We start from the raw sequence: 23,912 nt of genomic DNA, 5'->3' as shown, positions 1-23,912 counted from the left end.
ACTTTGGGAGGCTGAGGCGGGTGGATCACGAGGTCAAGAGATCGAGACCATCCTGGCCAACATGGTGAAACCCTGTCTCTACTAAAAATACAAAAATTAGCTGGGCGTGGTGGCGCACACCTGTAGTCCCAGCTACTCGGGAGGCTGACGCAGGAGAATTGCTTGAATCTGGGAGGTGGAGGTTGCAGTGAGCTGAGATTGCACCACTGCACTCCAGCCTGGCGACAGAGCGAGAGTCTGTCTCAAAAAATAATAATAATAATAAAAAATAAACAGAAAGTTTAATGAGGAACAATATATTTACATAGTTTCAAAGTATCTCCCCACAGAATATTTATTAACTACAGAAGGAGAAAAACCACCTCACTGTGGAGAGTCCTGGTAGACACCATCTTAACCAAGTGGGACATGTTGAAGTCATGTGTCACCTGGCAGGATGCCATGAGGGGAACACAGAGTCACTTTTGTAATATTCTGACAAAGACTCATAACATCGATCTAACCACGACAAAACAATAGACAAACTCAAAATGGGAGACATTGGACAAGATAACTGGCCAAACTCTTCCGAAGTGTCAAAGTCATGATGTCAAAGAGAGAGGGGAGACCTGATTCCTGCTCCAGGACACCTCAGAGACAGGACAACTAAATGAAAAGTGAGATTCTGTATTGAATATTTTTGCTATAAAATACTTGATTGGGACAACTGGCGAATCTTGAATGGAGTCTGATAATTAGATAGTAGTTGTGAACTGCTGTTAATTTCTGGATTCTGATGGGTATATTGTATAGTGTGTAGGACTAAACTCTTAAGTGTTCAGGGGTTTGGGGCATTAGGTCAGCAATTTACTCTCAAATGATTCAGGGTAAAAAAAATTCTTTGTACTGTACATGCAAATTTTCTGTAAACTTGTCATTGTTTCAAAAGCTAAAAATGAGTTAAAATTTTTGTGATCAATTCTGGTAAAGAGAAGATTAAGAACTGGCTAAATAATGTTCTTCAGGTATGACAAGTGTTGTTATAAGGAAGGTCTTTTTCATCTGCTGAGAAACTTAATAGATTCATGTTAGACATACGTATTTAATTCAATTTCACTTATTTCCTAAACAAGCCTTACATGAGTCTATTTATAGAAAGCATTCATATTAAATACAAATACAATAGTCAAATCATTAAAATAAGTGTAAAAGATGAGAGTCAAGAAATGAGATGAAATGAATAATAAGAGAGTAGGAATTTATATATGATAAAAACTGGCCAGGTGCGGTGGCTCATGCCTGTAATCCTAACATTTTGGGAGGCCGAGGTGGGTGGATTGCCTGAGCTCAGAAGTTCGAGACCAGCCTGGGCAACACGGTGAAACCCCGCCTCTACTAAAATACAAAATAAATTAAATGGGGGTGGCGGCAGGCGCCTGTAGTCCCAGCTACTCGGGAGGCTGAGGCAGGAGAATTGTTTGAACCTGGGAGCCAGAGGTTGCAGTGAGCCAAGATCGCACCACTGCACTCCAGCCTGGGCGACAGAGCTAGACTCTGTCTCTGCAAACAACAAGAACAACAACAACAACAACAAAAGCCAAAACTAAATGAAGCATAAAATTTAACTTTGAGTTTCCTGGTTGCCAAGGCAAAGATATAAAAAGTTACCAAGTGCTTATTTTGCAATAAGCCCTGGCTGGGTCCTAAGTCTAGCCACTGAGCCTCTGCTGCATCTGAGTCTCTTTCTCCCTCACTGTCCTTCCCTCACCATCTGCCATAGCCTCTCAAGCTCACAGTTCTTTGTCTCTGTTGCTGGTGGCCTGGCTTTTTCTTCCAGCTGCTTGTCTCTGGTGGCATTCTATACTTGTGTGCCAGGATAGCTTTCCATTTTTGCCTAGTGCTGTGAGGAAATTGCCCTTTTCTTAGTAAAAATAAAGTTCAGAACCTCAGAGTTGGCACTGGGTGGTCCATACGGCCTTGGCTTTCACCCAAGACTCACTTCCTTTGGGATCTATGTCTGATCCTACCATTGACACATTGGTCTAACGGGGCACTGTTTCCCTCTCTTTTTCTTATACTGGACGGAGGACTCTTGGGTTGATTCTCTGTAGACCGACTGATCAGAGTAAGAATGTTCATATAAGAATTGGATAAATGACAGGAGGAAACAAAAGGACAAGAAAAAGAGACAATTTCATTGATCTTTACAACTCAGCTTACTTCTCTTCAATTGTTGAACCAATAAATGGGTTCTTCCTGGTTCCTGGTCTACCTTCTCATGATGGTTACTATTATTTATACCCACTGGCCAGGGGTGCCTGTGACTTCCATGGTTGACCTGTGAGACCAACAGAATCTGAGCTCCCTCAGTTCTAGTTTCCTAAATTCACGTCCTTCCTCTGGGTTACTGAAACTAGGCATGGCCTCCCCATTCAAGAAGATCCAACCTACCTTCAGATGTGAGCTTTGTATTTATAGATGCCATCAGGATACTAGACCGCCCTCCCAATAAGCCTAGGCGATGTGCCCACATATGCTCAATATGGTAAAAGGATGGTTAGTTTCTTGTCACTTCCAGTGAGATCTCCCTGTTCCTTATTTGGACAAATTCTCATGTCTGATGGGGTACCTTGCTCAACTTCCCATGCTATTTGTATGGGGCTGTTTTGGTCATCCCTGGTTTGACTCACAGCTTTTATAACCAATCCCCCATTAGACAAGAGAAGAGGGTCACAAGAGGCAGGATATAAGGCAAGATTTCTGGAGAGCAAGAAATATTAGAAAGCCCAAAGTGCTGCATCCTATTAGACACTAAGACTGAAAGGCATAAGCACTAAATCCATGCTGGGAAGCACTAAAAGCTTTGCAAAAATCCCTCTATCTTGATCTGTTCTCACTATTCACAGGATCATTTAATATCAACCTATAAACCTGTGGCAGGTTTATGTGTACTAAGGCATTGCAGGAAGGAAATTATGGGACTCATCTCAAAATTGTCTGCCTTCCTGTTCTGATAATATAACATTTCTCTTTCTAATGAAAACCTTTCAATAAAAAAATAAAATTGATAATAATAGACAATATTAAAAATATAAACAACTGAGCACACCTTTTCAAAGTTCCTTTTCCATTCTAAAGGGGAATAATTTTAGGACAGTATTAGATACCTCTTACCTAAAATATCCAGTGGCAGACAAACTAGTGCTTTGAGCAAAAGCTTCATTAGCCTGCAAAAAAGAATATGATGAAAGGAAAAATACACAGCTGGACAAAAGCAAAACATGGGAAAATAACCATTTTCTAGATGTCATAGTTTTCCTTATTGTTGGGAATGTTATTTTCCTGAGTGAACAAGCAGAGTGCCCAAGTGGGTTCTCTGCCCAGGATGATTGCTAAGGATGCCCAGGATAATTGCTAAGTCACTGCTTTGGTGGATCTATTTAAAGAGCAAAGGAAAAAGCGATGAAGGTAAACATCTGTGGTGGAAGTTTAAATTCAGGGTTCCCAAACAAAGTCTAACCAAGGATCTCCATCCTCCTGTCTCCATATATGGGGAAACAGTCTGGGTGGAGCTTCGGCTTGGTTGGAATATGTATATATTTTTAAGTTTCAGAGAAACTAAGAGATAAAGGAGGCAAGTTTGGTAATCCCTCAAGTTACTGCTACCGCATCCCATCCATCGCCGCTCCCTGAGGGCTTCCCACAAAACTTCAAAATCACCAGGAGACTTTCTAACAGCACTAATTAAATACTCAGGGGCCTTGCAGAACTTCTGCTGCCTCAATTTTTAAAAATCTGGGTCATGTTTTAAAATGAAGTCTTTATTCTGAAAGAAGAACAAGAACTACCACCCAAAGACTATCCAGTTTTCCCCAGGAATGTTTGAAATGCAGGTATGGAAAATAGCAAGCATTTGTAGCTTTAACTAAAGATGTTTTTCAAAATGTAATCCAATATAACAGCTTCTCCTGCAAGAACTTCCTTTAAATGTATTGCTTTTTTCTCTGCAAATTTCCAAAAGTGAACTTTAGATGATGTAGGCTCTATCTTCCTTAGCGAATAACCAGACACACACTAAGTGGTATTTAAATATGAATGGCTTTAACACTGTTACTGAGCTATTTCTCCAGGTGTGAGTAAATAGCCAGATGAACCAGAGATTTCTGTTTCGTAAGATCTGGTTGCAAGGTGAATGACTGATTTATATCTGTCCCTTATGAACTCAGCTTACTAATCTTTAATTTCTGGACCAATATATGAATGCCTTTCTTCCTAGCTCCTAGTCACCTCCTTATGATGGAGATACTATCCATTTTATATCCAAAAGCCAGGAGTGCTACTTAAAGCGTGGTTCAGCAGTGCCAGCGTTACCTGGGAGGCTGACAGAAATGCAGACTCTGAGGCCCCACTCAGACCTACAGAATAAGAATCTGCATTTTAACTGATGCCCAGGTGATCTGCCTGCTCACTGATGACTGGGGAGGGGATGCCCTAGGTTGTACAGGACAGGAGGAGGAAGTGGCAGGGATGCAGCCTACCTGGGAACAGGTGCTTCCACTCAGTGGCCCCACAGGAGCTCTGCAGGCTTCAGCCACACCTGATACTCACCCACTTCTCCCAGGTGCCACTAGTACTCCATCTGATAATAGGTTCAAGGCATTCCACGAGGGTCCGGCAGGTATTCTGCAGGTGGAAAAGGACAGAAGACTGGCAGATAATTAAATGGGGAAACATTTCAAACTCAACTGTGTTTCTCACCCTGCAACAATCACCATCCTTCCTGCATCCTGCAGATACCTTCCATGTGGCTTGTCTCCACCTCTGGACAAGGGGCTGACTCTGGTTTTCCCTGTGGAACCAGTGCCAAGGTGGGGCTTTTTCACCCAGGAGGTAAAAGTGGAGGCTAGAGGGAGGACAGACAGAATGCAAGATCCATTTGCCCAGTTCAACCAAAATGGCTCTGTTTCTATGTGTTTTACGTGTTGAGGTTCCACTTAGGATTTGCTGCATACTTAGCAAGGCTATGAAAACCCCTGTCCAGGCAGTGAACACAAGAACACAGGCACAGAGAAAGGCAGCGTGGTGTGTAGAGATATGTGAGTTTTAGAGTCAGACATCCCTGTGATTGAATAGCTCTGCTTCTTCTCAGTATGTGGATGACTTATACTCTCCATGCCGTGGGGATCTTGTCTGTGACCTGGAGATACCAGAACCAGGTGACCACATAGCCTGCTTTGCCCAGGACAATCCCTGTTTACACTGGTTGTCTTTGTATTAATGCCAATGGCTCCCTTTGCTCTCCAAAGTATTTTTGTTTGAATTATATGGGCAGTAATACCTACTTTGAAGGGTTGTTTTAAATACATTCATGTGTGGCATAATGATGTTTTAGTCAACAGTGGACCACATATATGACAGTGGTCCCAAAAGATTATAATGGAGCTGAAAAATTCCTATTGCCTAGTGACATCATAGCTGTCATAGTGTTGTGGCATAATTACTTTATTTTTTAATTTAACTTTATTTTTTCGAGACAAGGTCTGGCTCTGTTGCCCAAGCTAGAGGTCAGTGGCATGATCTTGGCTCACTGAAACCTCCACCTCCCAGGCTCAGGTGATCCTCCTAACTCAGCCTCCCAAGCAGCTGGAACTACAGGTGTATGCCACCATGCCTGGCTAATTTTCATATTTTCTTCTGTAGAGACAGGGTTTCCCCTTGTTGCTGAAACTGGTCTTGAACTCCTGGACTCAAGTGATCAGCCTGCATCAGCCTCCCAGAGTGCTGGGATTACAGGTGTAAGCCACCACACCAGACCTAAATATTTTTAAAATAAATGTAGTGTAGCCTAAGTGTGCAGTGTTTATAAAGTCTAGACTAGTGTACTAGGTCTTCACATCCACTCACTACTTACTGACCCAGCCAGAGCAACTTTTAGTCTTATACAGGTGTACCATTTTTTATCTTTTATACCAGGTTTTTACTGTACCTTTTCTATGTTTAGATATATTTGGGTACATAAATACTTACCGTTATGTTATCATTGCCTACAGCATTCAGTGTAGTAATATGCTGCACAGGTTTAGAGCCTAGGAACAATAGGCTAGACCATATAGCCTAAGTGTGTGGTAGGCCATACCATCTAGATTTATGAAAATGTACTCTATGATGTCCCTACAATGGCAAAATCGCCTAAAGATGTATTTCTCAGATCATATCCCTGTTGTTAAGTGAGGCATGACCCATACAGCACTTGGTATTGTCTTCATTACTTTACTCTAGGGGCAGGTACTCATTAAAGCTTTGTGAGAGACTTGCTTGGAACCTGGGTCACTGAGTAACCAGCATTGAATGAGTTACTCTTGGCTTTGGTCTTCAAGTTCAGCTGACCAAACCAGGGATATCTCCACTTGTCCCCTCTCAAAATGAGATGTTGCGCTTGCCCTTCTCCAGATACCAGGACATTTGGCTCAGTAAGGCTTCTGCCCTCTGTTCTTCCAAGAGGGCAGCCTGGGGAGATCTCTGTTCTCAAGTAAGGAGGTCTTGGGTCCCAGTGTGGGTCTGCATTCTAGAGGGGGGACCCCGACCCTATCATGGGTGCCCTTTTCATAGAGTAAGCATGAGAAAGTGGACTTGATTGGGGAATGAACAAGTTGTCTGGCACCAGGAAGTCTGGATTTGGGGTGCAATTGGCACTCAAATATATGTATAATTAATACACAGGAGTTGTCTGGGAATGCTGCCACCCCTCACTGAACTGTGGAGCCCATGAAAAGTTACAGCTGCTCCAGTCAAGGGTGAGGAGTCACTGGTTCCCTGGGAAGCTGAGTTTTGGTGAAGCCCCTCCCACTAGAGAAGGGAGGTGAAGCCCTCTTCCCAAGTTCCAGCTGGCTTATTTCCAGATAATTCAGAATGAGCTCCTAGGGACGCTGTGGGTAATTCTAGTCATTGCATCACAAAGCCCAAAGGTGTGATGCAATGTCTGGGAGGTGTGTGCAGTCTGGGAGTATTTTATAAAGTCCAATTCTGGCTGATGGCAAAACTGAAACAACCTCTTTCACCTGTGTCATTTTGGTGTTAATACCTTGTCCCAATTCAGCTCTGCCATGACCAACTAATACAGACCCATCTGTGTAGATATGAACTAGAGCAGCAGCCTGGAAATAAAATTAGAAATCTGTTCTTTCTGCCATCTGTATGTGAATTTTTGACAGTAAGGCAGTCACAAATGAAGTAGCAAAAGCCACAAAATAAAGCTACAGTTTCACTGGTACAGGACCAATGGTTTCATCCAAAGGTGTGTGCCACCTGAGAATAGCTAAGGTGCTGTGCCATGAAATCTGTGAAACAAAGAAAAGCCTAAACGAGTCCCTTACTGTTGAAATGTGGTCATCAGCTGTTGCAGCGGCCTCTCGCCATTTTCAGTGGCATTAACTGGTTAGACTTTGAAGGCCCGCTGGCATTGTCCTCCTTTCTGAGTCTCTCCTAGTGTAAGGTTGAATTCAATAAGGACAGTGCCTCTCTCTGCAGTTCCAACTCTGCAAAGCAGTAGCAAATTGGCCTAAATTGTTAACAACTAGTAGAATTTGGAGCTTGTTTTCGTTGGAGCGGACCCGCTTTGCCCTTAGTTGTCATTTGGGGAGGAACACTCTGTCCTCGTGAATTCTTTCTCCTTGTTCCTCTGAACATATTATTCTCAATTGCTTCTGGGGAGTAAAAATCTTGCAAAGAATTATCGAATAAAATACAGCAAAATATAAAAAACAAAATCTCATTTGTCCATAATCTTATTGCTCTCACACCCTTGGTTATTATAAGAAAAGTTGAATAGTGCTAATATAAGGCCCCAGTCTGTCACCTGCAATTCTGAATTTCAAAAACCCTGAGCACCTATTTGGTGGAGAAACTTCTCCTGATCTCATCCAATGAGAGATTCATAGTCTTTAAAAAATCTTACTTGGTTTAAGTAATCATACACTTCACTGCAGAAATATTACTATGCTTGAATGTGGCATGTTGCCCCAGACTCTGCTGAGGACTTTAATAAATAGTATAGAGGTCGTATGATCTTCTAAAATCAGAAACATTTAGAATCCCAAATTATATCTGGCCTCAAAGATTTCATAGGGGGAAAAATGAACATGGTGTATACTTAAAAAAAATCAAACATTTTAGAAAGGTACACGATGGAGAATGAAAGTACCCCTGCCCACTGGTCTGCCCTGTCCCATCCTAAAAGTAACTGGTCATCAAAAAAAAAGGCTTTAAATAAATAAAAGAACAGTCTTTCAATTCTGAAAATTGCATTGTCTCTTAAATGCTTAATTTATTCTCAAAGTGTTCTTTCCTGATGATTCTACAATATTCCACAGCTAGTGTCTACTATGGACTCACTGTGGATCTTGTGAAGTTTGGCATTTTCGTCCACCAGGTTAGAGATAAACATGTGCAAAATGCTTGATAAGACAATTCACAAGCAAGAATTTGATCCAAAGGAACTGATAAGATGCTGGAGAAATGTATGAAAAACTCTTCATACTACAGCAGGAAAAAAACTGTAGAACAATTTAACCCGTGGAATTATTGGAAGGAAAGAGGAACTGTCATTATACCCAAGAAAATCTCAGTTGGATATCCAAAGATGTTTTATCATCAGGTAATTTTCAGAAATGCTTGTAAGGCTGAAAAAAATTTACCAAGATCTATTGATACTAATTTTTAGAAAATAACTTAGTAATTCCAGAGGTTTTGCTGCTGGTTTAGCAATTTCATTTCTTTTTCTCTAGCAGCTATGGTGCTATTGGTTGATGAAGAATTACTGATAACAAAGAAAGTCCACAAGGAAAACTGATATTTAAAATACCACAGTTCTAATGTACAGATCATTTTGAGGACTGTCTTAAGTCACAATCCCATTTAACATCTCTTATCATGCTTCTGTGTGATCCTTAAGCATTACTTCTGGATGGCTTCCCTGACCTCCAATACCTACACTGCACCATCCACTCCTGATTCTTAACTCAGTACAGTTGCACTATGTTGAAATTGTTGATTTCCCTTTAGGGTTCCTCACTGCAGGCTGTAAACTACACCTGTCTTAGCCATTTCTTTATTCCTCTCTTTATTCCTCCTAGCATAATGTTTGGATGGAATGATGGATAGATGGATGGATGGAATGATGGATGGATGGGTGGATGGATGATGGATGGGTGAATGCATTGTTACATGAATGAGAAGGTGAAACAATTTCTGTGGGTATTGGGTCTTCCTCTGTAATTTCCTTGAAATTGCTCTACAACTTCTAGAAAAATAAGCTCAGATTGCTTGGTCCTTCCTACAAAACCACAGTGGAATTACAGAGAAGACATCAACATTTCTGCTCGTGATTTATTGTTGTTGTCTGTAGATTTCTCCCCACTCAAAAAAAAATACATATATATGTTTCCAGTTTTTCAGCTTCAGGAGGTCTGGGTGAGGCTCAGGAGTCTGCATTTTAACCAAGCATCTCCAAGGCTCTGATGCCGGTGTTCTGTGGCCACCGCTATAGAAATACCATCTTGCTCAGTGCTTTTCAAACCATTCCTTTGTGATTCACTAGTAAGGTGTGAAAATTCATTTAGGACCAGCATATTTAAAAGAATAAATAGAAGAGAAGGGAGGAGGAAAGGAAGGGAGAGGAAAGCAGTGCAGAGAAAGTGTCAGTGCATGACATGTAGCCAAATAAGTGTCATCCTGTGTAATTTCGTTCCTTTCTCCCCCTCTCTCCCTCTCTCTCTCTCTCTGTGTCTATCTCTCTCTCTCTCCCTCTCTCCCCTTCTCTCTCTTGTCTCTCTCTATCTCTCTGTGTGTGTGTGTGTGTGTATGTATGTTCATGCACATGTGCTGGGTCCCATCATAAGGTGCATTTTATGGGCCATGGTAAAACAATTTGAAAGCTGCCTAGGGCATCCCTTCCTGTTGGCAGGAACGGCATCTGGAAGCCAGGCGTTCCAGTGTTGGCCAGCTCCCACACAATGTGGAATCCCACCTTCCTATTGTATCTTCTTTTCTAGCTGTGCCTCCCATCAGAGCAGTGAATGGCTCTACTCCCTCTTTCCACAGCTTTTCAGAAATTTGAGGAGGGGCAGCATTCTGGGCAGGAGTGGGGGTCTGGGCTGCCTAATCAAGCATCAGAAAGGTGAAGATGGGGCTGCCGCCAGGGCTTGGTGTCAGGGGGCTCTGGTGTGGCAGCAGGAGCTGTCAAAGGGTGAGGGGGAGGGAGTGAAATCCAACATAGAGACCCCCAGCCTAGACATGCAGGGAGGGGACAGGAGTGAGATGGGAGGGGTGGGGGATTCCATCCTGAGTTGACCAGTCACTGTGTCTTGCATGTTTTAGGCATCCACGTATGCAGTCCTTCCTCTCTGTCAGGTGAGACTGGCCCACACTGCACATGAGCTCTTTTCTTCTTCAGACCAAGCACTCTGAGTTTTAATGACATGGTTCTCAATCCCCTCACTGCTCTGGCTGGCTCAATTGATACTCTCTGGTAGATTCTGTTAAAGGTCCCAGCACAGATGTTTTATCTGTTGAATGAAAGACCACTCCAAGGAAAGCAGGCTTATGTGACCCTCTTCCTGCTGGACCCTCTGACTCCTTTAGAGTGTGTTGGTTGTTGCACACTTCATTTCAGCATGTATTTATTGAGCACCTTTTATGTGCAAGATCTAGGAAAATAGAAATGCAAAGAAAGGAACCTTCCCACATAAGACACCAGTCATCTGGCAGAGCAGAATGAGATGTTCAAGGCTAGAAGGCTGCACCAGGCACCCGGGAGGCAGAGATGGATAGCACCTGGCACTTGGGAAGTACTCTGTAATTGTGGTGCTGACGGAACAAACTCAATTCTATAAGAAGCCAGGGCTGTGTTGGGGAGGTCTCCTAGAGAAGATGATATCTGAGCAGGGATTTGATTCTAATCAAACAGTGGAGTGAGAAATTGTCCATGCTTGTGAGTTAGAGTTGATAAAGCTCTGTATGAGAACAAAAGGTCTCTTATGAACTGAAACCCCTGGGGTTTAGTGCTGGAGCTTTGTGATCCTTATTTTAGGTTCTAAGCAGTATGTTCTGCTCCCTTCTAGATTCCAGGTTATATTCCACAGGGCTGAAGCTTTCAGAAAATCTTCTTCAGCGAAGTGGGAGCTTTCTATAGCTAGATTGAGACTATATAGGATGAATCAAGTTTGAACAAGCATCACTCCAAATCTTTAACATGTTTGTATTCTGGATGCCCCCAGAAATGGGGAGATCTTCAAATGCTGAGGCCTCTGCCCACACTTCTGTCTTGCTTTCGGCCTTTCAACCTCTACATAAATGTTCCCATATCTTCTATGGGCAGTGATTTGACAGTCACAAAGTGCAGTGCTAAAACTTAATAAAAAAGTACAGCAATCACATGTGGGTGAGCATAGGACTCCGCAGATATTTGAAACGGCAAGTTAGCGAATCACTGAATTTGTGCTGCATGTAGCGGCTTTCCTATTTGCTCACCTTATATGTCCCAGGTAGTGGGTGCCATCCTCCAGTTATCAACATGTTGTCCCCATGTTCTAGAATAAAATGGATTGGGCAGCCAGATCTGGGGAGAAAACAAAACCAGGATCACAGCTTTAAGTGATTTGAGATCTCAAGTTCAGGTTTGTGGGATGTTTCAGGGACAACTGTGATCCCCTTGACTACACAAGTAAGAGACAAAGAGTAGAACCACCCAGGAAAGAGCAGGAAGCCATGGATTTCTTACTTTTTCATAATAAACCAGGCAGCTAGGAAGCAATCTGTATGTTTAAGGAGCTCCTTTGCCATCACTCTGTTTTAGAAGTCAAGATAGAGCATTATTTGTGGTTATTTTTGTGCCTAACCCTCAGTTTCTGAGTGGTCATCCACAGCTATTCGTTGGATTTTCTCTGAGTAATTTGGGAATTTAAAACCCTCTGGAGTTTGTCATTTCTGTGATTCCTTCATTATTACCTTTAGTGGCCAGATTTTTCATTTATACAAATGGCCAGAAGATCCTCAGAAGGTTACACAGATCACACATAAAAAGCAAAAGCTTCATTCACCAAAAAATAAATTTCTTGTCATTTCCACCAATTTCCAGAAAAAAATATATTTCTTTATCTATTTGGGGGTACAGACTAGAGAAAATTCTATAAATGCCTTCAAAGCCCCAGCTGGAGAAATAAATTGGTATCGCTTTCCAAAATTTATTAATGACAGATTGCATTACAAAATGTAATTAAGATGGTCACACTGAGATCCTCATTATCCTCTGCTCAGCAGTCCCTAGAGTGCCACAGAGGGTCACCCAAGACTCCTCCCTCTTAGATATTAGCATTAGCACCTTATATAAATGAGTCGGCAGAAAATAAAGTCAGAGGGAGCTATGCACCATCCAGAGGGAAAAAATAAAAGTGATCCCGAGTTGGACAGGCAGGATCAGAAGTCCACATGACCTGAAGATAAGAAGAGGGGCTGGAGGGGAAGCAGGTGGGCCGGAGGGAAGCTGTGGTGATGTACAGCCTGCAGCAGCAAGACTCACTGCCAAATGACCAAAAGACTGAGCAGATGTTGACATTACCTGAATGTTCACAATTATAGGCTCCACGTCTTGGTACACAATCTTCACCACTTTTGTGGCCTGCTTGGCATGATCATGTTTGTCAGCAGCCACAGTGCAGAAAATCTGACCCACACAAATCACCTGCAGAAAACACAGACCAATTAACTGCCAGAAGGGAACAAAAATGTGCACCAGTGAGGCCCTTGTCAACCCAGTTGGAACACGCGTTGGGATGATGTGTGTACAGTTGACCTATAGCCTAGAGCGTGGGGCTGGGTTTGAATATGGCTCTGCCACTGCAGGCTATGTGGCCTCAGGCAATTGATTAAAACTATATAAGCCTCAATGTCTTCATCATAAAATTGAGATAACTGTGCCAACTTAACGGGGTTCTTAGTTCCCTTAAATTTGTTCTGAAATAAGGCTTATTGCAAGTAAATAATCTAAGGTCATTAGAAGGACTGCATATGGTGATGTGTATAAAGGCACCTGGAAAATAGTACCAGGGAATAGCAGCTACCATTATTATTAATATGATATAAGAATTTTAGGTGCTATTATCATAATACTTCACCCTGTGCGTATAATCTTTTTCTTTTTTAAAAAACCTTTTATTTTAGGTTTGAGGGTACAAGTGAAGGTTTGTTACATAGGTAAACATGTGTCATGGGAGTTTGTCATACAGATTATTTCATCACTCAGGTATTAAACCTAGTACCCGATAGTTATCTTTTCTGCTCCTCTCCCTCCTCCCACCCACAACCCTCAAGTAGACCCCAGTGTTTGTTCTTTCCTTCGTTGTATTCATAAGCTCTTATCATTTAGCTCCCACTTATAAGTGAGAACATGCGGTATTTGGTTTTCTGTTCCTGTGTTAGCTTGCTAAGGATAATGGCCTCCAGCTCCATCTGTGTTCTCACAAAAGACACGATCTCATTTTTTTTAAGGCTTGCTTAGTATTACATGGTGTATATGTACTACCTTTTATTTATGTAATCTATCATTGATGGGCATTTAGGTTGATTTCATGTCTTTGCTATTGTGGATAGTGCTGCAGTGAACAATCGCATGCATGTGTCTTTATGGTAGAATGATTTATATCCCTCTGGGTATAAGCCCAGCAATGGAATTGCTGGGTTGAATGGTAGTTCTGCTTTTAGCTCTTTGAGGAGTCGCCATACTGCCTTCCACAATGGTTGAACTAATTTACACTCCCACCAACAGTGTATAGGTGTTCCCTTTTCTCTGCAACCTTGCCAGCATCTGTTATTTTTTTACTTTTTAATAGTAGCCATTCTGACTGGTATGAGTTGGTATCTCATTGTGGTTTTAATTTGCATTTCTCTAATCATCAATGATATTGAGCTTTTTTCATATGCTTGTTGGCCACATGTATGTCTTCTTTTGAAAAGTATCTGTGTATGTCATTTGCCCATTTTTTTAAATGAGGTTGTTTATTTTTCTCTTGTAAATTTGTTTAAGTTCCTTACAGATGCTGGATATTAGACCTTTGTCAGTTGCATAGTTTGCCTATATCTTCTCCCATTTTGTAGGTTGTCTGTTTACTCTGTTGATAGTTTCTTTTGCTGTGCAGAAGCTCTTAAGTTTAATTAGATACCACTTGTCAATTTTTGCTTTTGTTATGATTGCTTTTGGTGTTTTTGTCATGAAATCTTTGCCTGTTCCTATGTCTGGGATGGTAGCGCCTAGGTTGTCTTCCAGGCTGCCTTTTTATAGTTTTGGGTTTTATATTTAAGTCTTTAATCCATCTTGAATTGATTTTTGTGTATGGTGTGAGGAAGGGGTCCAGTTTAAATCTTCTGCATATGACTAGCCAGTTATCCCAGCACTATTTATTGAAGGGAGTCTTGTCCTCATTTCTTTTTTTTTCCAGTTTTTGTTGAGGATCAGGTGATCATAGACGTGTGGCCTATTTCTGGGCTCTCTTTTCTGTTCCATTGGTCTATGTGCCTGTTTTTGTACCAGTACCATGCTGTTTTGGTTACTGTAGCCCTGTAATACAGCTTGAAGCTGGGTAATGTGATGTGTCCAGCTTTGTTCTTTTGGCTTAGGATTGCCTTGGCTATTCAGGCTCTTTTTTGATTCTATATGAATTTTAAAATAGTTTTTTTCCTAATTCTGTGAAGAATGTCATTGGTAGTTTGATAGGAATAGCATTGAATCTGTAAATTGCTTTGGGCAGTATAGCCATTTTAATGATATTGATTCTCCCTATCCATGAGCATGAGAAGTTTTTCTATTTGTTTGTGTCTTAATTTCTTTTTGTAATTCTCATTGTAAAGATCTTTCACCTCCCTGGTTAGCTGTTAGGTATTTTATTCTTTTTTCTGGCAATCTTAAATGGGATTGCCTTTCTGGCTCTTGGTCTGCCTGTTTTTGGTTTATAGGAATGCTGGTGGTTTTTGTACATTGATTTTATATCCTGAAACTTTGCTGAAGGTGTTTATCAGCTGAAGGAACTTTTGGGCCATGACTATGGGGTTTTCTAGATATACAATTATGTCATCTGCAAACAGAGATAGTTTAACTTCTTCTCTTCCTATTTGGATGCCCTTTATTTCTTTCTCTTGCCTGATTGCTCTGGCTAGGACTTCCAATACTATGTTGAATAGAAGTGGTGAGAGAGAGCATCCTTGTTTTGTGCCAGTTTTCAAGGGGGAATGCTTCCAGCTTTTGCCCATTTAGTATAATGTCGGCTGTGGGTTTGTCACAGATGGCTCCTATTATTTTGAGGTATATTCCTTCAATACTTAGTTTACTGAGAGAGTTTTTAACATGAAGTGGTGTTGAATTTTATCAAAAGCCTTTTCTGAATCTGTTGAGATAATCATTTGGTTTTTGTCTTTAGTTCTGTTTCTGTGATGAATTACATTTATTGATTTGCATATGTTGAACCTACCTTGCATACCAGGGATGAACCCTACTTGATCATGGTGGATTAGCTTTTTGGTGTGCTGCTGGATTCAGTTTGCAAGTATTTTGTTTGTTTGCAAGTATTTTGCAAGGATTTTTGCCTCAATGTTCATCAGGGATATTGGCTTTTCTTTTTTTGTTATGTCTCCATCAGGTTTTGGTATTAAGATAATGCTGGCCTCATAGAATGAGATGGGGAGGAGTCCCTCGCCTTCAATTTTTTGGAATAGTTTCTGTAAGAATGATACCAGCTCTTCTTTGTACATATGGTAGAATTAAGCTGTGAATCTGTAAGGTCTTGGGCTTTTTCTGGTTGATAGGCTATTTATTTTTGATTCAATGTTGGAGCTCATTATTGGTCTGTTCAGGGAATCAATTTCTTCCTGGTTCAGTCTTGGGAGGGTGTATGTGTTCTGGAACTTATCCATCTCTTCTAGATTTTCCAGTTCATGTGCATAGAGGTGTTCATAGTAGTTTCTGATGGTTGTTTTTATTTCTGTGGGGTCGGTGATAATATTCCCTCCAACTTTTCTAATTGTGTTTATTTTAATATTTTATCTTTTTTCTTTGTTAGTCTAGCTAGTGGTCTATCTTATTAATTTTTTCAAAAAGCCAACTCCTGGATTTGTTGATCTTTTGAATTTTTTTTTTCTGTGTCTTGATTTCCTTCAGTTCAGCTCTGATTTTGGTGATTTTTTGTCTTCCGCTAGCTTTGGGCTTTTTCTGATTTGTTCTTGCGTCTCTAATTCTTTCAGTCGTGATGTTAAGTTGTTAATTTGAGGTCTTTCTAACTTTTTGATGTGGACGTTTAGTGCTATGAATCTCCCTCTTCACTGCCTGATCTGTGTCCCAGAGATTTCTGGTATGCTGTATGTTTGTTCTCATTATTTTCAAAGAACTTTTTGATTTCTGCCTTAATTTCACTATTTACCCAAAAGTCATTCAGGAGTATACTGTTGAATTTCCATGTAATTGCACGGTTTTGAGTGATTTTCGTAGTCTTCATTTCTACTTTTATTGTGCTGTGGTCCAAGAGTGTTTTTGGTTGATTTTGGCTTTTTAACATTTGTTGAGGATTGTTTTATGTACAATTATGTGGTTGATTTTAGAGTATGTGCCATGTGGCAATGAGAAGAATGTATAATCTGTTGTTTTGGGGTGGAGAATTCTGAAAGGTCTATCAGATCCATTTGGTCCAATGTTGAGTTCAGCTCCTGAATATCTTTGTTAATTTTCTGCTTCAGTGATCTGTCTAATACTGTCAGTGGAGTGTTGAAGTCTCCTACTATTATTGTGTGGGAGTCTATGTCTCTTTGTAGGTCTCCAAGAACTTGCTTTATGAATCTGGGTGCTGGGTGCTCCTGTGTTAGGTGCACATATATTTAGGATAGTTAGGTCTTCTTGTTGAATTGAACCATTTACCATTATGTTATTCCCTTCTTTATCGTTTTTAATCTTTATTTGTCTGAAATCTGTTTTGTCTGAACTTAGTATTGCAATCCCTGCTTTTTTCTGTTTTCCATTTGCTTGGTAGATTTTCCTCCATCCCTTTATTTTGAGCCTGAGTATCGTTATGTGTGAGATGGGGTTCTTGAAGACAGCATACCATTGGGTTTTGCTTTTTTATTCAGCTCTTGTGCATATAGTCTTTCTTCTTCATTGCAATTGTTACCAGGAATATCCTGAACTGTTATGGCATCAACTACACCAGGCAATGCCAGGGCCTCAGAGGCGTCAGTGGAATGGGGGAGAGAAGAAACCCTACAGAGATGCCAAGTGTTGCACAGGATAATGTGGCCCTCTTCTAAGTGAATACGCAAACCCTAAGAACCCTGAATATTTCACATGAACGCCACCAGGAGTGCATGAAACCGTGCTAACACTGTGGAAAGTAGAGGACTTTGGTTTTACTGGATGCAGGTCAAAAAGGGGATTCTTTGTAGGGCATTTTGTTAGTCTCCCCTTCCAGGAGAGGTGTACCCTTGGGTTGTTTAATAAACCAAAGCTCAAATGTGACACTCTTAGGAGCTCAGGCTCCTCTGAAGATGAACGCTCAGAAAAAAGGTAGAGAGAATCATAGCTCTTTGGGATGTCACAAGCTAAGGAAGTTGTTCTTACCCCTTTACATTCTGAGATAATAGTGCTCAGCTCCTCAGATACCAGCTCCCTCTCTTGACAGGGGTTTATTTGTCTTTTATCCACTCCCAAGCCTGCAGTTGCCCTTCTGCTTTTTATTTTCTTTTATCAAGATATATGTTGAGATTGTTTTTTTGTGAAATATTTCAATGTATTGAGTTGGGTTAATTGCTAATAGATAATCCTTTGAGTGTCTGCTTTATTATTATTTTGAGATAGGATCTCACTCTGTTGCCCATGTTGGAGTGCGGTGGCATGATCTTGGCTCACTGCAGCCTTGACCACACAGGCTTAAGCGATCCTTCCACCTCAGCCTCCCACAGACGCAAGCCACTACACACGTCTAATTTTTTTTTTTTTTTGTATTTTTGTAGAGATAGGGTTTCACTATGTTTCCCAGGCTGGTCTAAAACCCCCTGGGCTCAAGAGATCTGCCCTCCTTGGCCTCCCAAAGTGCTTGGATTATAAGCGTGAGCCACTGCGTCTGGCTGGTAGGTATTACCAACCCTCAATTCTGTCCATATTTACTTATATGATTTTAGCATGTGGCCTGGTGCTGGTGACCACAGTCAGGAAGAACTCTTCTGCTAGGGCAGGCATGTCATCACAAAATACAGCCTCCCTCACAGCATGTTTAATATCCACCTGAGGCATGATGGGGCATCCCACTGGGGTCTTGGGAAGGGGGCTTCTGGGAATCTACACACTATTTTTAGAAAACAAAGTCAAACACAAAGCAAATCAATCAAGCAGGAGTGTTTATGAGTCGGAAGCATCCGCTAAGAAATGGGCGTGCCTTTCCCTGCTCTACGTGGTGCAGGCCTTTCCAAACTAGTCTGTGTTCAGCCTAAACTGGACTTTTCTTCCTCGTGGTTGATCTACCTGAAGCTAAAGAGGGTAGGTGTGATGAAGATGAGACAGGGCAGGGACTGGGGCATGAGTGAAGATGGATTTTGTGGCAGCTAGCATATGGGGAACTCTGCTTTTCTGAGAAAACCTGAATGTTTTATGAAACAGATCTTACTGAGAGGACACTTGAGGTAAAAGTTTCCCCTATTGGCAAGTGGAAGTCCATGTGCTCTGATTAACACCATCATAAAACTTAGGGGGCTGTGTAGCCAGCCTGTGTGAGATCCCCCTTCAGGCAGGAAGACTGCTGGCCAAGTGTCAGATGGGAAACTGGGAGATGTGAATTATAGCCCTAGTTCTGCCATAAGTAACTTGGGGCAGGAGGTTTTGTTTGCTTGTTTTAAGCACTTTGGGCATCAGTTTCTGAACCTACAAAATGAAGGTACAAGATTAAATTCATGCTTTTCAACACTTTTAACTTGTAAACTAAGATAAGAGAGTTTTCTACTGATCTGGGACTCTATGACTTTGGAGGTCTGGTGAGGATAATCTTTCTCTCCCTCCACTCAGGCAAATGGCGTTAACACATGAGTGAAGCTCTTTAAGGGATGTCAGTTCTTATATTCTGTGATGTCATGTAACCACAGTTACAGTGCCTACTCCTGTCCCTTGAAGATATCTCCCAGTGATCCTGGGGATGAACACCAGGCAGCTTTCCAAATAATAGGGTTTTGTTTTTTTTTTTTCTGCCATCTTGTAAACCTTCTTGGACCAACAACCAGCCCAGCTACAGCAGATCAGCAAGAGAATCAGGCTGTCTGGTTTGGAAAATAAATTTTGACACTGCTCTGTCCTCCCTGTCCTGGTAAGTCCTGGATGTTCAGCAGCAAGTTAGCCTGGGGTCCTGAGGGTCATGTGAATATGGCTATATGTCATGCATGCGACTGTAAGTCCTCCTTCCAGCCACCGTGGTCACCTGCAAAGTCCCTTCCCTCACATTTCCCTGAGGCTTCTTGCTTCCCTTTTGTTATATTTTTGCCCTTCAGGTCTATCTTTAGTTTTACCTTTTATGACATTTTATCAGCATAAAAACAGAGTTATCAATGGAAAATAAACATCTGAAAAAGGTCTAACTTCACTAATTAAAGTAATATAATTCAAATAATGAGAGATAATTTTTCTCTAATTTAGAGAAATTTGTCAAAGATTAGAGGATATGATAACCAGTGTTGCTAAGGCTGTGATGAAAGGGCTGCATTCATACCCAGTTGCTGAGAGTATGGATTGAAACCATCTTCCTAAAGGCCAGTTTTAAGAACCTAAAAAATAGACAGAAATTCCACTTTTAGGAATGTGTTCTAAGGAAATCATCGGAAATATCTGCAGATTTATGTTTTAGAGTATTTACAGAATATTATTTGTCCCCCCAAATGGGGATTGGTTAAATAAGTTATAGCACATCCATTTGAATAAAAAACAAACACATATCCATTAAAAATCCTGTTTTGAAAAATCTTTAGTGTCATAGGAAAATGTTTGTGATATACTATTATCTGAAAAAAAGAATGTAGGATTATATATATAAAATGTGATCTTGAAAAAAATGTGTTTTACACCAGTTAGAATGGCGATCATTAAAAAGTCAGGAAACAACAGGTGCTGGAGTGGATGTGGAGAAACAGGAACACTTTTACACTGTTGGTGGGACTGTAAACTAGTTCAACCATTGTGGAAGTCAGTGTGGCGATTCCTCAGGGATCTAGAACTAGAAATACCATTTGACCCAGCCATCCCATTACTGGGTATATACCCAAAGGATTATAAATCATGCTGCTATAAAGACACATGCACATGTATGTTTATTGCGGCACTATTTACAATAGCAAAGACTTGGAACCAACCCAAATGTCCAACAATGACAGACTGGATTAAGAAAATGTGGCACATATACACCATGGAATACTATGCAGCCATAAAAAAGGATGAGTTCATGTCCTTTGCAGGGAAGTGGATGAAACTGGAAACCATCATTCTCAGCAAACTATCGCAAGGACAAAAAACCAAACACCGCATGTTCTCACTCATAGGTGGGAATTGAACAATGAGAACACTTGGACACAGGAAGGGGAACATCACACACCAGGGACTTTTGTGGGGTGGGAGGAGGGGGGAGGGATAGCATTAGGAGCTATACCTAATGCTAAATGACGAGTTAATGGGTGCAGCACACCAACATGGCAGATGTATACATATGTAACAAACCTGCACATTGTGCACATGTACCCTAAAACTTAAAGTATAATAATAATAAAATAAAAAATGTGTTTTATGTATTCACATATTTATATACACCCTAATAATCCTTAAAATTACAAGGAAGTCTATTAAAATTATAATAGCATGTTAAGAAATATTATCCAAAACTTGGAAAAATAGACAAGATTCACTGAATGGCCTTTCAATGCATTTTGGAACACAGTCTAGCAAGTCCATTCCATGGTTATCTCATTCTCTAAGGGAATGTTCCTTTGTTGAACTTGTTTACTATTGATTGGGGGCTAGACTCTGTGAAGCTACATAAGAACATGTAGATTTTCTTTTCTAGTAAAGAATCAAATTATTTCTGTCCTGTAGGAAGGCAACCTCAAAGGTTACAGTTTTATTACCTGTAAGATATTAACCGGTTTTTTACCTAAACTAGCAACCTTCGTCATTGTGCTGGCATGCCTATATGCTCAGTCTCTCAAATTCACTTTCATCCAGTTTTATCATTTTGCTGGTTCCCTCATTGTCGAGTTAAATAAATCTTTGACATTTGCTTACTTAAGATTTGTATGAGAATCAAGTTTTTAATACAGTATTTAAAAAATACTTTGGCAATGGCCATATATAGCTGGTAGGTTTACAGGAGATTTTGATTTTCTTTTTATATTCTTCTGTATTTGTCGAATGTCCATTAAAGGACATGTTTTACTTTTATAAAAAGAAAGCACAAAAATGTCTGTATGTATATACACATGCATTCTATATTAATTTCTCAGGCTGTACTTTCCCTAACTCTATACCCAGTAACAGGCCAACCTCCCGAAGATGCATAAAGACACCTTTGCCGTTGACCAGGCAGACCCTGCATCCACAGGACATAGAGAGAAAGGTGCTCCCTGAACACTGATCTGGATAAGCATTGCTGGGTCAGTGCAGAGGCGTCCATTTCCCCAGTCTGCCGAGCTGGCCTAAAGCTGAGGACCTCTTAGTGGGAGCTGAGGACATGTGCCTGAAGAGGCAAGCCCTTGACTGATGGAAATTGGAGTCTGAGTTCCATGTGGGGGACTGGGAAGCACAGCAAGGTCTGAAATGGGAGACCCAGGGAAGGGCAGAGAGGACCAAAGGAGGAAGGGGGTCTACAGTGTGGGAAACAGCCTGGACGCAACAGCCGGGGGAGGAGGCCTGCTCTGGCCCCAGTGGCCCCTTGTAAGCAGGAAAGGCAGCTGGCTAGACCTCTTCTGTGTTATTCACTCTGATTTTATCCTTTATCTTCCCCTCCCAACCTCACCTCCTTTCTAACCCCAAAGCCATGCAGCTAATATGACTAAGATTGCTGGGCGTTTGCTTGGAAATGCAAATGAGAATTTCTGGTAGTTTCCTAGTTTCCTTGATCTCCTTTGTCAAGTTTATTGAGGGGAAAGGACTCTCGGTTAAAAAAAAAAAAAAAAGAAAATCCAGATTTTGAACACCAGCTCTCTTTAATGCCAACTTCCTGAGGAGCTGCCCAGCTCTGTAACAACCTGGAACAGAGGCGCCATCACAGACTTGGCTCTGACGGGCGGCACAGCAAGAAGCCTTGCTCGCGTGTGGGACGTGCCCGTTCTGGCCTGGAGAGAGGGCCCAGAGACACCACCTCGCCACCGCCACCTGATTACTCATTGTCACCAATGAGATGACAAGAACTGATGACGCATTTCCCTTTTGCTGCACTCTGACACCTCAGAGACCACAGCAGAGAAAAAGCTGCTTTTGTAAAACTGGAACATGAACTACGCGGACGCCCCAGAGGAGGTCTCTGCTGCCCTCTGTTGCTGGCTTCTTAGTAACCCTAACCATTTTTAAGAATACAGTATTTGGTTTCAGTAACTTTATTACATGAAAAGTATGCTCGGAGGAAAAAATGTGTCAAATTTAATCAGTCGTGGGTACTATCAACATTTTAAATTGTTGCCAATCTAATAGAGGAAAATGGTATCTCATTGCTGTTTTAATTTTCATTTTAAAAATTCTAAGTGAGGCTCAAAATAGTTTATTTTTCCAGTTTCCTGCCAGTGGGTATACTTTTCTTTTTTTGTTTTTTTAATCTTTTTTTATTGATTTAGAAAAGTTTTTGCTGTAAATGCGTTTCTTTTTATACTAATGCTTTTCTCTGTTATATAGTCAAATTTATCAGTCTTTTCTTTATAACTTCCGGCTTTCATGTTCCTTAGGCTATGGATTTTTTTAAATGCATGCATATATTTAGTATAGTTTTTAGTATTTAAAACTTTAATCAATCTGGAATTTATTTTTATTGTAAAGTGGGAAATAGAAGTACAGCTTTATGTTTCTTTGTTTTTAAAATGGCTTGCAAGTTGTACCAATATTCTTCCTTAAATGCTCCATTTTATGGCTTACTTGAAGTGCATTTTTGCTTCTAATGAGACCTGACTTTCTGGCCTATTTCAGGACTTTACATTGTTCTGTTGGTCTGTTTTTCTCCTCCTGTATCAGTACCTATAATGTGTAACTACTAGACATGTATTAATGTAATAGAATACATTTCAATATTATATAGGGCTAGTTTCCCCTCTTGACTATTCTTATTATACATTTTTTATCTTTCTAGATAAACTTTAAAATCAAGTTTTTAAAAGACACTGTTGATGTTTTGATTGGGAATGTGTTATATTTAATTTATAAGAGAAAATTGATACTGTTATATTTTGTGTCCTTGTAGCTAAGGCTTATGTCTTTCCCTTTTAAAATTTGTCTTTTTTTAAAGTTCACCAATAGATTTTAAAAGTTCTTTTCATGTTGGCCCTGCACATATTTTTGTTGATTTTATCCCTAGAGTTATTTTTTGGTTGTTACTATAAACGGGAACTGTTATTCCATTGTATTTTCTGATTATTGCTTGAATACAGCATTTCCACAGCTGATCCTTTCCTAAAAGCTGACACTATGACAGCAGTTGGAAATTAAAAAGGAAAGCCATGGCAAAAGACAGTCACAGCTCCACTTGGCTGTTCTGTTCTTTCAGAAAACGTAGTGACCTCGTATGAGTACATCCCCTGAGGTAGGGTCAAAAGAAAGTCTGTTAGGACACCTAAGAGTTTCTTGGAGATGTCAGGATATCCACCGGGGTTCTGAAGTAAAGATGCTGTCATTATTT

The 23,912-nt window shown here is 40.7% G+C and overlaps 1 long non-coding RNA gene and 2 pseudogenes across 3 annotated transcripts in view, besides 1 other annotated feature; 1 reads left to right on the top strand and 2 right to left on the bottom strand.

The window, feature by feature from the left end:
* AOX3P-AOX2P (AOX3P-AOX2P readthrough, transcribed pseudogene) overlaps positions 1-23,912 on the bottom strand; it is a 99,193-nt pseudogene that overhangs the window by 59,223 nt on the left and 16,058 nt on the right. For both annotated transcript variants that reach the window (NR_135011.1, NR_135012.1), the window contains 4 exons: positions 12,593-12,715; positions 11,506-11,593; positions 4,588-4,662; positions 3,154-3,206 (listed from right to left, as the gene is read on the bottom strand). The product of NR_135011.1 is annotated as an AOX3P-AOX2P readthrough, transcribed pseudogene, transcript variant B (transcript). The remainder of the gene's footprint in view (positions 1-3,153; positions 3,207-4,587; positions 4,663-11,505; positions 11,594-12,592; positions 12,716-23,912) is intronic.
* AOX3P (aldehyde oxidase 3, pseudogene) overlaps positions 1-23,912 on the bottom strand; it is a 43,059-nt pseudogene that overhangs the window by 3,089 nt on the left and 16,058 nt on the right.
* Positions 516-23,388, top strand: LINC01792 (long intergenic non-protein coding RNA 1792). Its single transcript, NR_037886.1, has 3 exons — positions 516-656; positions 19,276-19,358; positions 21,563-23,388. It is a non-coding gene; the product is annotated as a long intergenic non-protein coding RNA 1792 (long non-coding RNA).
* Positions 22,299-22,578: an enhancer, noted in NCBI's record as "active region_16961". NCBI's record gives its function as "activates an Ori minimal core promoter by ATAC-STARR-seq in GM12878 lymphoblastoid cells {active_cell/tissue: GM12878}" and the evidence as "EXISTENCE:reporter gene assay evidence [ECO:0000049][PMID:35858748]".

This window comes from Homo sapiens, chromosome 2 (assembly GCF_000001405.40).
Source record: "Homo sapiens chromosome 2, GRCh38.p14 Primary Assembly".
In the NCBI taxonomy this organism is placed as follows: domain Eukaryota; kingdom Metazoa; phylum Chordata; class Mammalia; order Primates; family Hominidae; genus Homo; species Homo sapiens.
The sequence above is the reverse complement of the archived record's forward strand: the minus strand, read 5'-3'. Positions and strand labels throughout refer to the sequence as shown.